General features: G+C 38.2%; 1 long non-coding RNA gene across 3 annotated transcripts in view; it reads right to left on the reverse strand.

Moving 5' to 3' along the window:
• LOC105378066 (uncharacterized) overlaps positions 1 to 14644 on the reverse strand; it is a 122515-nt gene that overhangs the window by 40691 nt on the left and 67180 nt on the right. For all 3 annotated transcript variants that reach the window (NR_187985.1, NR_187983.1, NR_187984.1), the window contains exon 4: positions 6317 to 6396. This is a non-coding gene — a long non-coding RNA (uncharacterized LOC105378066). The remainder of the gene's footprint in view (positions 1 to 6316; positions 6397 to 14644) is intronic.

The following is a 14644-nucleotide window of genomic DNA, read 5'->3' on the forward strand; positions in this document are numbered from 1 at the left end:
GCGGATGTTTTGTGATTTTCTCAATAGGATAACTCAGAATTCCTAGTTCTTTTGTTGTTGTGATTTTGTCTGCTCCCTTGCTACCCCTTTGAGCTTTCCCATGACATTTCTGCTGCTTTTTGTTGTTTACCATTAATTTGCACATAAAGTTTTTTCTATCTAGTTTCATTGAATTTATTATATATAGGTAGATATTTATTAAGTTCCCATAGTTTTCTGTACAGATTTGCTTTCTCCCCCACCCCCGCCCTCCGGCCAGTTTTGCTTTGAGAAATCATCTATTGGCCTAATCATTGTCCTACTTCCTTTTTGTTTTGGTCATATTTAAGTACATTCTAGCGATCTATATTTTTACCAAATGCATGTAGGTGTTTATCTATCAATCATTTTAATTTGGGGAGAGATTTATTGAATTTTCTGTCTAAGAACTCATGTCTTTTATCAGTTCTCAAAAGTTCTTAGCCACTATTCCTTTAGACACTAAGGGATCAGAAGAAAGAACCTGTAATCACAAAGTACAACTCACACCCATTTTATTCATGCTCTTTTACTGTTCCTTTGATTGAGTATTAGTCTTTCTTACTCTCTCCTCTGTGTTTCTTAACTCCCCCTTTTTCCATAATTTCTATTTGTGACACATTCTGGGTTATTCCTTCAGCTTGATCTTCTACTTTACGAATTCTCTCCTTGGCCTCTTTGAATCTACTACTAAATATCTTCATTCAGTATCAAATTGCAACTGTTTTATATTTTATTCCCAAAATTATATAGGTTTTATTCAAATATTTATGGTCAAATTTTGCAGTTTTCTGTTCTTTTCTTATTTATTTAATTTTCCAATGTAATGTTTTAACATCATAAACATTATTTTATATTATTTGTTTGATACAAAATTATTAATTACAAAATCTGCTATATTTTGAGGCTTAAGTTATAATGTTTGTTATTTTTCCTAATATTTCAAGGTATATTTTCTGTTTAGTGTTTTGCAGTTTCTCATTATGAGCTAATGTGCCTTTAAATATTGTAAAACTCTGGATGACTATTTGAAATCTATGTTTAAATTACAGTTTTATCAAAGAGTAATTTTATTTGCTTTTTCCAGATGCCCAGGTACACATTTTTGGCTATGTTTTTGCTGGTGGTGATCATGGAGGTGGCTTTTGTTTCTTTCAGCCATAAGGCTAGTGAGAATTTTTTCTCCTAATTAAAGTAAATCTGGAGGCATCATGCTACCTGACTTCAAACTATACTACAAGGCTACAGTAACCAAAACAGCATGGTACCGGTACCAAAACAGAGATATAGATCAATGGAACAGAACAGAGCCCTCAGAAATAACACCGCATATCTACAACTATCTGATCTTTGACAAACCTGAGAAAAACAAGCAATGGGGAAAGGATTCCCTATTTAATAAATGGTGCTGGGAAAACTGGCTAGCCATATGTAGAAAGCTGAAACTGGATCCCTTCCTTACACCTTATACAAAAATTAATTCAAGATGGATTAAATACTTAAACGTTAGACCTAAAACCATAAAAACCGTAGAAGAAAACCTAGGCATTACCATTCAGGACATAGGCATGGGCAAGGACTTCATGTCTAAAACACCAAAAGCAATGGCAACAAAAGCCAAAATTGACAAATGGGATCTAATTAAACTAAAGAGCTTCTGCACAGCAAAAGAAACTACCATCAGAGTGAACAGGCAACCTACAAAATGGGAGAAAATTTTTGCAACCTACTCATCTGACAAAGGACTAATATCCAGAATCTACAATGAATTCAAACAAATTTACAAGAAAAAAACAAACAACCCCATCAAAAAGTGGGCGAAAGACATGAACAGACACTTCTCAAAAGAAGACATTTATGCAGCCAAAAAACACATGAAAAAATGCTCACCATCACTGGCCATCAGAGAAATGCAAATCAAAACCACAATGAGATACCATCTCACACCAGTTAGAATGGCAGTCATTAAAAAGTCTGGAAACAACAGGTGCTGGAGAGGATGTGGAGAAATAGGAACACTTTTACACTGTTGGTGGGACTGTAAACTAGTTCAACCATTGTGGAAGTCAGTGTGGCGATTCCTCAGGGATCTAGAATAGAAATACCATTTGACCCAGCCATCCCATTACTGGGTATATATACCCAAAGGACTATAAATCATGCTGCTATAAAGACACATGCACACATACGTTTATTGTGGCATTATTCACAATAGCAAAGACTTAGAACCAACCCAAATGTCCAACAATGATAGACTGGATTAAGAAAATGTGGCACATATACACCATGGAATACTATGCAGCCATAAAAAATGATGAGTTCACATCCTTTGTAGGGACATGGATGAAATTGGAAATCATCATTCTTAGTAAACTATCGCAAGAACAAAAAACCAAACACCGCATATTCTCACTCATAGGTGGGAATTGAACAATGAGAATACATGGACACAGGAAGGGGAACATCACACACCGGGGCCTGTTGTGGGGTGGGGGGAGGGGGGAGGGATAGCTTTAGGAGATATACCTAATGCTAAATGGCGAGTTACTGGGTGCAGCACACCAGCATGGCACATGTATACATATGTAACTAACCTGCACATTGTGCACATGTACCCTAAAACTTAAAGTATAATAAAAAAAAAAATAAAAAAAAAAGTTGGGCTTGTGTTTAAGGATTCTCGGGGAAAAATTATTTTTAAGTCTCTCTCCAGAGCCAATGCTGATGGTTTGCAATATCCCCATAATCTTCTGCCAAAAAGTGGATTTTTCCTAGTTTATCCACTAAGTTTGTCACCTTTAGTTATCCTGCTTTATGTACTGGTTCATGGATCAAAGATTTAAATTTGGACTTACCCTAGGCTTTTTCTTCTGATCCCCTTAAATGACCCATGAAAAGCTGTTATGGACTGAATTGGGTCCCCCTCAAACTCATGTGTTGAAACCCCCAATGTGAGTGTATTTGGAGATCAGTAGGCCTTCAAAGAGGTAATTAAGGTTAAATGAGATCATAAGTCCTAATGCAATGGGACTGATATCCTTTTAAAGAGGAAGAGATACCAGAGATCCTAATCTGTTTCTTTGCACATGTGCACAAAGGGAAGACCATTGGATGACATAGCAAGAAGACGCTGTCTATAAGCCAATAAGGGAAGCTTCACCAGAAACCAACCCCACCAGGACCTTGATCTTGGACTTCTGCCTTCCAAAACTGTGAGAAATAAAATTCTCTTTTTTAAGCCACCCAGTCTGTGGTATTTTGTTATGGCAGCCTGAGCAGGCTAATACAAAGCTCAAGCTCTAGGCAATTATGACTGTTTAGATGTTCCAGGGAAACATCAAGAATCTAGGATGGTGAATAAAATCTCTAGATTCATTCTTCTCCTATTTTTTTCCATGGTGCAGAAGATTTATTTGACTACGGCACTAATCTAACCTTATGTTTTGAAATATTTTAAAAATATTTTGTTCAGCAGTTTTGTTCAGTAAGTGTTCTATACTTCAAGGGTTTCTTTGAATAGAAATGTCACCCTACTGCTGGAAACTAAATTCCATTTCATTTATTTTTATTTACATACTATCATTTTAATTTTGGCACTTCAAAAAACTTATTATTATTTTGGTGAAATGAAGGCAGTGTAAAATGTGTAAAACATCATGTTCAAGCCATGCTTCTTCACTTACATTTTATATGTTCTCTTTAAGAAACTTTAAATACATAATGGAAAAAGATGGGATACATTACGGGAGGCCGAGGTGGGCAGATCACTTGAGGTCAGGAGTTTGAGACCAGCCTGGCCAACATGATGAAATCCTGTCTCCACTAAAAATACACAAATTTTGTATTGTATTGAGTGCTTGTAATCCAAGCTACTCAGGAGGTTGAGGCAGGAGAATTGCTTGAACCCTGGAGGTGGAGGTTGTGGTGAGCCAAGGTTGCGCCACTGCACACTCTAGCCTTGGCAATAAAGCAAGACTCCATCTCAAAAAAAAAAAAAAAAAGTGGGATAGGTGTTACACCCATATTGTCAGTAAGAATATGGGAGAGTAAGAAAGAAAGCAACTAGATCAAAGATTCATAGCAAATCACTTGGTGGTGGTCAAATTATAAATTTCTGCTCTTCCCACTGCTATATGAGTGTCCTGTCATCTCACTATGGACAATTTTAAGGCTGATTCATTCTGTATGGACTTTGTATCTGACATTTTTTCTGTATCAGATATTGCAGCAAAACTTTTCTGCTATTCAAAACCATCTACAAAACCTACTCTGTGCTTCTAGGAGTTTCATTATTTCAGAGACCTAGCACTGAGGTGGGTGTGTTCTAATGTCTGGGGGAAAAGCAAGAAGTTTGATAATTGCTGTCAGCTTTCTTATTTCCTGTCTTAGAAATTGAGAATACTGATTTGTCTGGGATTTTTGCCCGCATCAAGTTTCTTTCTGCATCCTTTTCTTTCTTGTTCTCATTTTTTATATACTTTTGCTCCAACAGATGAATCTGTTGTAAAAAGTACTAATTTTTTAACTATGAGTTCAGAGGTTATATTTAAACTATTTTAATAATGTATTATAAATAATTTCACATATAAAGTGATATAAAACAAATACTGATCTATTAAATAGCCATCTAAAGAAATTAAACATCAAAATACAAAAGAGAAATCGAAGAGAACTGAATTCTGCTCTAATTGACACTAAAATAAAGATAACTAAATAAAAAATTCACGATGACCTTTGAAAGTATGGCAGACAGACAGTGGGAAATAAGTCACTTTAGTTTCCAGCCCAAATTAAAGGGTCACAGAACACTGGAATTCGCTGTGGTCATTAAACCGCTGCAAATTATGGCTCTTCAAGGAAAGCACACATCAAAGTCATCTTCTCATGCTTTTAAAGAAATGCTGGTTTATGAACTATTATTAACATTAAATGGCAAGTCAGTGTAGGTCACAGTAAGGTACAGAACTATAAAACCTCAAACAGCGGTTTTCTATTTTGTGTTTTTAAAGTATTTGACAGTTACTTTATGGATTGGTGCTTTAAGCAGCTTTTATGCCTACATAGATTTAAAAGGGAGGTTATGGAACGAGCATATGTGACTGTGACATTCAAAGTGAATATATATCAGAGACACAGAGACGCCCAAAGCTCTTGTCATAGGGCATATAGAGAACATGCATCAAAGGGCCCTATGTACATCCATGCAAAAGGCCAAGTTAATTTTTACACTTAAAGGCAGGTTCTAAGGCTAATAGCACTTCCAAGGATACTAAGATTTTGCCTTCCTCTTGCATTTTCCTTTGCCTTGGAAAATGGAAAGATAACTTCAAATTAATTTATTTCTTTACTTTGCTTATTTATGATACCTTTCCTTAAATTGTGAAGGTCTTTTGTCTATAGTATCCGTCTTAGCATGATTCCCAGCACTATCTTTATGCAACTAGGTTATTGGTTGGTTTTAGTTGCTGTACTTTAAAAAACCCAGGAATTTTAGAAGAAATCTTTGGTACTTAATTAAAAAAAACGAAGGGGGCTCTTTTTGTCAAAATTCTCCTCATTTATCTCTCTACCATTACTCTCAATCCTGTTGAAACCATTCTCCACGTCACCATAACTATGGATTTGATTATGTTATCCATTTTTTAAAAAACTATTATTTACTGTCACGATAAGATAAAGTATCTGTTTATTTATTTTTCTGTAAACCACTTCCTTCAGATATGATTGACATACACAAAGCTGTACATTTTTAATCTGTAGACCTCAGCGAGCATGGAGATGAGTGTACACCCATGGAACTGTTACCACAATCTATATTATAAACCTATCCATCACCTCCAAAAGTTGCCTCTCACCCTCTTATTATTATTTAATGATAAGGACAGTTGATATAAAGAATGATCCTCATAGCAAGTTTTTAAGTATACAAAACAGTATTATTAACTATAGCCACTATGCTGTACTGGAGATCTCTAGGTCCTATTTATCCCATATAATAAGAAACTGTATCATCTAACTAATATCTCCTCGTGTCCCTCTCTCCTCTGCCACTGGCAAACACCATTTCACTCTATTTCTATGAGATTGACTATTTTAGATTTATCACGTAAGTGGTATCATGTAGTATTTATCCTTTTGTGTCTCCCTTATTTCATTTGGCACAATGTCCTCCAGGTTCATCTATGTTGTCACAAATGGCAGAATATGCTTATTTTTCAAGGCTGAATAATTTCCATTGCACGTATATGCCATATTTTCTTTATATATTCATGCAACAGTGAGAACTTAGGTTGCTTACATTCATTTCTTTGGTGACCAAAGCTTCACATGATCAGATTCTAACATTTAGTTTCCCTTCTGTTTCCATGGGTTCTGCATCTATGGATTCAACCAAGAGTGGATAAAAACATTTGGGAAAAAAAGGATAGTTGCATCTACACTGAACATGCACAGACTATTTTTCTTATCATTATTTTCTAAACAATACTGTAAAACAACTATTTACATAACATTAATGTTATATTAGGTATTATAAGTAATCTAGAAATGATTTAAAGTATACAAGAGGATATGCATAGGTTACATGCAAAGACTACACCATTTTATATAAAAGACTTGAGCATCTGTGGATTTTAGTATCATGATCTCAGAGGGGAGGTAATTTCATGGTGTGTCCTGGAAGCAATCTCCCATGGATACTGAGGAATGAGTGCTTACAGGAGGGGTCTTCAAAAAGTATATGGAAGATGCTTATTATGAAATATCCATGCATAAATTTCAACTTTTTTGCACCAAAATTTGCACTAACTTGTTATAACATGTATGAACAGGATGTAGTTTGAGGCATTAAGAAGGATAAAACATCAGTTTGAAAAGAGACCTTATCAGAGCAGCATGAATTTTGCTAAAATTGAAGCAAAAAAAAAATCATCAAATTTATGGTGAAGCTTGGGTGGAGGAATGGTGAAATCATTGATGTTTTATGAAAAGTTAATAGGGACAAAGCCCCAAAGAAATCAGCAGCTTACAAATAGATAACTCATTTTAAGAAGAGATGAGATGATGTTGAAGATGAAGCCCATAGCAGCAGACTATCCACATCAATTTTTGAGGACAAAAATTAACGTCATTAGTGTCCTAAATGAAGAGAACAAATGATTAACAGCAGAAACAATAGCCAACACCATCAACATCTCAATGTGTTCAGCTTACACAATTTTTATGGAAAAATTAAAGGTGAGGAAACTTTCCACTCGATGATTACAAAACCATTCTGCCCAGATCAACTGCAGACAAGAGCAGAGCTTTCAATGGAAATTTTAAACAAGTGAGATCAAGATTCTGAAGCATTTTTTCAAAGAATTGTAACTGGAGATAAAACTCCTGCTGACTTTACCAGTATGATCCTGAAAACAAAGCACCCTCAAAGCAATGGTAAGTAATGTGACAGCCAGGTGGGAGGAGATCCCTGAAAAAAGTCCAACTGACTTGGACACTGGGAAGAGTGCACATGGGATGCAGCCACAGAAGTCCGTGCCATTTGCAGCAGGGAGAAGAGCCTGGTCCTCCTCTTCCTGTGCAAAACCAGAGATTCAAACTGCAAGGCAGGAAGCACTATAGCAGGGACTCTGTCCTTTTGGAGAGTCCCTGTTTCCCCCTTGTATTCCTTTTCACCCAATAAAACCCTGCTTTACTCATCCTTCAAACTGTCTGCAAGCCTAAATTTTCATGGCTGTGGAACAAGGACCCCGTCTTTAGCTGAACTAAGGAAAAGTTCTGTAACATTTTTGGCACCCAACATGAGGCTCAAGAAGTGGTGAGTGAAATGGGGATGCAAAACTCCTCACTGTGGTTTCTAACCCTTTTCATCCTCAGACTTCTGATCTTATGGGAAACTACACTCAAACCCCCCGTCACTCCCAGAAGTTGGGGGCCTTTTCATGCCCTTTTCTTTCCTTTTTTGAGATGGACTGGTGAGCAGCTGCTCACCACTTCCTCCTCCCTGGTGGGGTTGGGACGCATGGCCCAAGGGTCCTGCACAGCTGGCTAGCTGGTTCCCAGCCATGCGCCACTGCATCCTCCCTCTTTCCCTGCGAAGGGTTTCAGCTTCATCTGATAGTAATTAAACTTTTTTCCCTGGTGTAAGAACCAGTTGCATAAGAATAATAGGTTCTTCTCTCAGGAATCCTTTTCCTTACCCCATCAGCAGGTAACTTTTAACGTTCTTTCCTTTTAGAAAATGCTTTACTAGAACAGGCACCCCTAACTATCACTGTTTATATTTTCTGCAAAGTTTTGGTTGTGAAATCAGGCCATCTTGTTTACATCCTGGGGGCATGGCTTGTAACTCTGGTGGCAAGGTTTTGTTTAGCAGTCCTGCCTTAGAGAATAGGTTCCTTTCTGGTTTGATATCTGCATGTTTTCCTAGACCTGTCTCCTAAAGAACCCCACCAGGAAACTGGGTTTTCTCCTGCCTGTCTCTGTGTGTGTGTGTGTGTGTGTGTGTGTGTGTGTGTGTGTGTGTGTGTGTGTGTGATGTTGTAAAAAGGACTCTAATTGATTCGGCCTAAAGAAAAACAACTACTTGGATTAAATATTTTTAAGGGAAGACAAAAGCTTTTGTACCTTTCAGTTCACATGACTTTAATATTTAAGAAATAAAAACAACCTTAAAAATTATTGGTAAAAGGCAAGTGTCATTAAAATGTAAATAGGTGGGATGAATAATGCAGGTCAGATGCAAGATTTACTAAATGTTTTAAGGTTAAAAACTGCTTTTTGGGTTTTGAAAGCTATTTGACTTCACAATTGGTAAGACCTGGGGACATATGGAACTAACCACACCCTTAATTAAGAAGGCAAATTTTGGCCGCAGTTAGCATACAATTAAAGCAACTTACCAGGTTTTACCTTAAAGTTAACAATTGCTAGGAGTTACCATTACAATGTGTAGTTAAAACTACTGAAATTAGATTTACATGTAAGGTGTGTAAGAACAGTAAAATGTGTTTTCTTTTCTTTTTTTTTTGTAAAAGGTTATAAGAAGGCATGGAAATGTAAATTTTCGCCTAGGGTTAAACAATTATTTTAAACTAGATAAGATAAACCTGAAGGTTCAAACTAGTGGTAGGAGGATTGTGGAGATTAATCTTGAAGAAGAGGTTCTCTGTGTGAACATATTGACTAAATTCAAAAAGGCATTATGTAGTTTTTCTGTAAATTGAGCATTAAAATAAAAACACAACAAGGTTTTCTTAAGGTTGTTAAGTTATTGTTAACCATGGAGATAACCAAACTTCGTCAATCGTGTTTCTAACTGTAACTATGCTGGACATTTTGCTATTTATGGACAATTGTTTTCTTAGTTTTAATCCTTTTCAAAAGATGGTTTATAATGAGCTATAGGACTCTGACAGGTGCTCTTAAATTCAATTTCTGATTGTATATGGGACAATCAGGTTTTTGATAACCTTAGAGATTGTAATATTGGAATAAAGGAAAATGTACAGGACTCATAAAGAGCTAAAATGTTCATGAATTTCAAGCAAAACAAGAGTTAACTAAATGGACTGAACCCAGAAAGCTGAAGCAAACTTTTTGACTTTTGCTCAGAATATTGCTGATCCTTGTTTTGTTTTTCAGAGTCAAGGAAACTTTATTTTGAACTATTTACAGCTTTTAATAATTAAGCAAGGTATACTCCTGTAATCAAAATTTGGAGTAGTTTGTTTCTCTCTGCCTGGTTCCTCTAGAATTTGGGAACTATTTGTGAGTATTCTTAACTTATGGCAATATAGTTGTTTGCATAATTGCAGTAAGAATCCATTTTTCTTTTGCAACAGGACACAGTTGGAAAAAATGGTTATTTTACCAAGGCCTTGACTGGAAGGCTATGCTTCCCTTTAGGAAATCAAGCTCAACTTGCAGAGCCAATAAAAGCCCAGTGGGGAGACTGGCCTCATACCCTTGCCTACACAGTCCCTGTACAGGGTTTCTGACCTATGGTGAGTAAAGAATGTCACTTTCTAACAGGTCCAGGATCTTAAAGTTTATCTTGGGACTTTAAGAGGAAAGGATCACCCACCTCACAGGTATTTGAGGATACAAACCCATGGCCAGGCTTGGCTTTAAAAGGTCTTATCTAAGACTCCCTGTGGAACAAACTTCCATAAAAGCCAATCCAAAAGGCCTATGTAGAAATAATTATTCTTGCTGTACTTTATGCAAATAATTAGGCCAAGTATAAGACTAAAGTCTCTTTTACAAACAATTCAGTCCTATCATTTTTTTTTTTTTTTTTACAAAAATGAGGACTGGAGAGAGAGAAATTATGTTTCAAAACTTCATCAGTTGTTTTTATTTTTATGTTTTTGCCTACATCTTAGACTAACCCTGCTTGTTCCTGTGAACCAACCAGCAATTTCCAGCTGCAGTCCAGAAAAAACAAGAGGGGTGGGTAATGTAAAAAATTTTGATCGATAGTCTAGTTCTGAGTAATTATCCTGTGAATCCTGCCAGGTGATGGGAATAAATAGGATGCCCATCACTCAGAGGTTTCCTTTTGGGAAAGTAAGACCAAGGGAGCTAACCAAAGCCAAGCACCAGGCACCCAAATCCTAGCAAGCATGACTATAGCCACCAGTTATCTGGGTGTGTCACAAGACATCTTCCCGTTTTGGAGGAGGACTCAATTCAACAGTTTCACCTTAGCATTTGCCTTATGATAAGGAGTCCATGCAACCCCCCGAGACACATTTTTGTCCCAAACTCAATTCCAAGCTTCGGGTAAAAGCCCTAGGAAGGAAAGCTGGATCAAAGGGATCCAGAGGCAGACAACAGAAGTTAAAAGGCACAGCGCAGGTGAACATGGCTAATTCCTGCCAATTAAGCCAAGCCCAAGCTTCCTGTTTTAGGGATAAATGCCATGCTAGTATCCATGGCATAAATGAGTTCTAGGGAATTCAAGGCTACTGACAACAGGGGAGATAGGGCGTACATGGGTAAGAGCAGATGATTCCTACCCCCATACCTCCCTGATTCATCGGTGTAAGCCACTTTGACACTCAAGGGGGGACATGCCAAGGTCACCAGAACTCGAGGATGGAAGGATGGAAGAGGGAAAGAGGACACTCTTCCTTCTCTCCCTCACATTCCCAGGGTATCTACTAGGAAGAAATGAGAAACTGGGATGCCTGCTCTCCTCTTTCTAGATGGGTAGCCATTCATCTTCAGTCTCCACCCATTTCAAATGCATCCTGAACCCCTGGAGCTCCTTTGAAAAACACCTTCTTTTTCCTCTCTCCTCCTGTCCTCTCTCCTCCTGTCCTCTCTTCACTGATAGGTAATTGTGTCTCCATACTACAGGTTACTCCACTCAGATGTATCCTTCAAACTAGAAAGAACTAATTTCCCAAACCTTAAACTGGTTGGTTTAAGATTGGGTTCAGAGGTGCTGGGCATGGTGGCTCACGCCTGTAATCCCAGCACTTTGGGAGGCCGAGGCAGGTGGATCACGAGGTCTGGAGTTCAAGACCAGCCTGGCCAACATGGTAAAACCCCGTCTCTACTAAAGATACAAAAATTAGCTGATCATGGTGGTACATGCTTGTAATCCCAGCTATTCAAGAGGCTGAAGCAGAAGAATCGCTTGCACCCAGGAGTTGGAGGTAGCAGTGAGCCAAGATCGCACCATTGCACTCCAGCCTGGGTGACAGGGCGAGACTCCATCTCAAAAAAAAAAAAAAGAAAAGAAAAGAAAAGAAAAAAGGAAAGAAAAAAAGAAAAAAAAAAGATTGGGCTCAGGGGAAGGGAATCCAGAAGCCCAACATGCCAGCAAAAGAGTAAAGTTATTTTGCCTGTCAGGTTTTGGCCTCCCTTTCCCTGTGCAAACTGGTAAAAGGCCTCAGGATTTTTGAGCTGCCATTACCCTTTCCCGTTTGACACATGTTTTGACACGTTTCCTAATAACGCGGTTTGTCTGTTCTTGCCTTCAGGCCATCAAACTCCAATGGTCATGCAACTGGAGACTCTGACAATGGCCTCTTCTGCTGGGAACCCTTAGATAGACCTCTGAGGGAGCTCTGGCTGCCGTTTCTCCACTGTCAGCAAGAAGCAGTTAAGATCAGTCTTCATCCTTATCCTTATTCTAGTGGCCAATTAGATGTACTTCGTTAGAGTGGGGAATGAGACAGCCACGTGGGAGGGATCCCTGGCAAAACTCCAACTGACTTCCACACTGGGAAGAGTAGGCACACTGGGGTGGAACCATAGAAGTTCCTGCCGATTGCAGCAGAAAGGAGCTGCAATCATGTGTGGGACGTGGGATTCCAACTGCGAGGCAGGAAGCACTCTAGCAGGGACTCTGTCCTTTTGTAGAGTCCCTGTTACCCCCTGTTCTTCCTTTTCACCCAGTGAAACCCTGCTTTTCAAGCTCTTCACACCGCCTGTGAGCCTAAACTTTCATGGCCGTGGGACAAGGAGCCCATCTTTAGCTAAGCTCAGGAAGAGTCCTGCAACATTAAGACGTGGAAGTGGTCCTGTGAAAGCAAAAGTGGACCAGTCAAGAGCAAAGATCGAGGCAAGTTTTTTGAGGGATTTTTTGAGGGTTGCTCAAGACATTTTGCTTGTCAACTTTCTGAAGGACCAAGAATGATAACATCTGCTTATTATGAGAGTGTTTTGAGAAAGTTAGCCAAACCTTTAGCAGAAAAATTGGGAAAGCTTCACTAGCGAGTTTTTTGCTTGTTTGTTTGGTTTTTTTGAGATCGAGTCTCACTCTGTCACCCAGGCTGGAGTATAATCACCCCATTTCCGCTCACTGCAACCCCTGCATCCCAGGTTCAAGCCATTCTCCTGCCTCACCCTCCTGATTAGCTGGGATTACAGACGTGTGCCACCATGCCTGGCTAATTTTTGTATTTTTGTAGAGATGAGTTTCACCATGTTGGCCAGGCTGGTCTGGAACTCCTGACTTCAGGTGATTCACCCACCTCGGCCTCCCAAAGTGCTGAGATTACAGGCATGAGCCACTGTGTCTGGCCAAGAGAGTCCTTTACTACAACAATGCTCCTGCTCATTCCTCTCATCAAACAAAGGCAATTTTAAGAGCATTTTGATGGGAAATTGTTAGGCATTTATCTTACAGTCGTGATGTGGCTCCTTGTGACTTCTTTTTGTTTCCTAATCTTAAAATAGCCTGTAAGTGGCATCAATTTTACTTCAGTTAAAAATTTAAAAGGACTGCATTGACATGGTGAAATTCCCAGGACCCTCAGTTCCTTAGGTAAGGACTACATGGCTGGCATCATCACTTACAAATTCACACATGTCTTGAACTTGATGAAGCTTATGTTGAGAAGTAAAGCTTATATTTTTATGTTTTAATTCAATTTTTCCACAAACTTTTTGAAGTCCTCTTGTATTTCTAGCGTGTCCCCTTTTCCTTCTCACATCTTTCTCTCCCATATTATAGCAACTTTGAGCTTCCTATCATCTCTGAATTAAGAGTTCTTATTAGGGAGCTATGCTATTTCTGTTATTTGGAGGACCTTTCCTTAATCCCTCTTTGCTTAGAAAACTCTTACTCATCCATTCATATAGCTTTACCGTGAAAACTTTTATGATTCTCCAGTATGGGGAATTAGAGAACACTGTGCACTTTGCTTCCCTACAATGCTTTCTTCAAAACATCATAATTGGCCTTTTCCTGGTTTTATATTACGTATTACCTGCCACTTTGCTTGTCTCATTTCCCATCTTATAAATGCCCTTAAGACAGGACTCACATCTTTTTTTTTTTTTGAGAAGGACTCACATGTTAATTACATTTTCTAGCATACTCTTCAGCACACACTAGCAACACAATGCATGCTTGATGACTGAATTATAATCATTGATTACTTCACCCCATAAAATAACAGATGAAGAAATATAGAAAGACAGCTGTACACATATAGAGCAATCAAGTCAATTATATATTTATTCATTAGAAGATTCTGTTGTTAACTGTTAATAATCATTTTCACCAGTCAATTGGAAAGTCTATGTCAGCAGAACTAACAGAAATGTTATTTTTAATTCTCAGCTATCTTTCTCCTAGTCAATTTAGTCATTTAGCAAATGTCAAGACCTTTTTTTAAATATTCATCATTTTTAGGGTTAAGCAATTTGGCATCTATGCAGTCCTTTTTCCCATAACCTTGTTACCAAGTGATAAATTACAATGAGAGAGAGCCCTCAATCTAATTCTGCCATACCAAAAATGTGTTACTATAATATGTTAACAAGTGGGCACAAACACAGTCAGACACTGAAGTATAGGGAGATTCCATTCTGCGCCTCAGGCATTCCAACTAATCCCTTGCACAGAAAGTGCAGGAAGGTAGGCATGACTACTGTCTAGTGGCCAGAGTCCATACTTATAAATGAATCTGACGATTGGACCTCCATCGATTGGAGGGATGCAGGGACTCTGAATGTAGAAGGCTACAAATGATGGTCTTAAAACCTCCATGTTTGCTGGACTTTTATTTCATTCCATGGGTGAAAAGTAATCATGCCTGACAGTGTTAATTTCTGCTGAAAGCAAACTTTATGCTATTTAACACTCCTACTCTCTGGAGTTTCT

This window comes from Homo sapiens, chromosome 6 (assembly GCF_000001405.40).
Source record: "Homo sapiens chromosome 6, GRCh38.p14 Primary Assembly".
In the NCBI taxonomy this organism is placed as follows: Eukaryota; Metazoa; Chordata; class Mammalia; order Primates; family Hominidae; genus Homo; species Homo sapiens.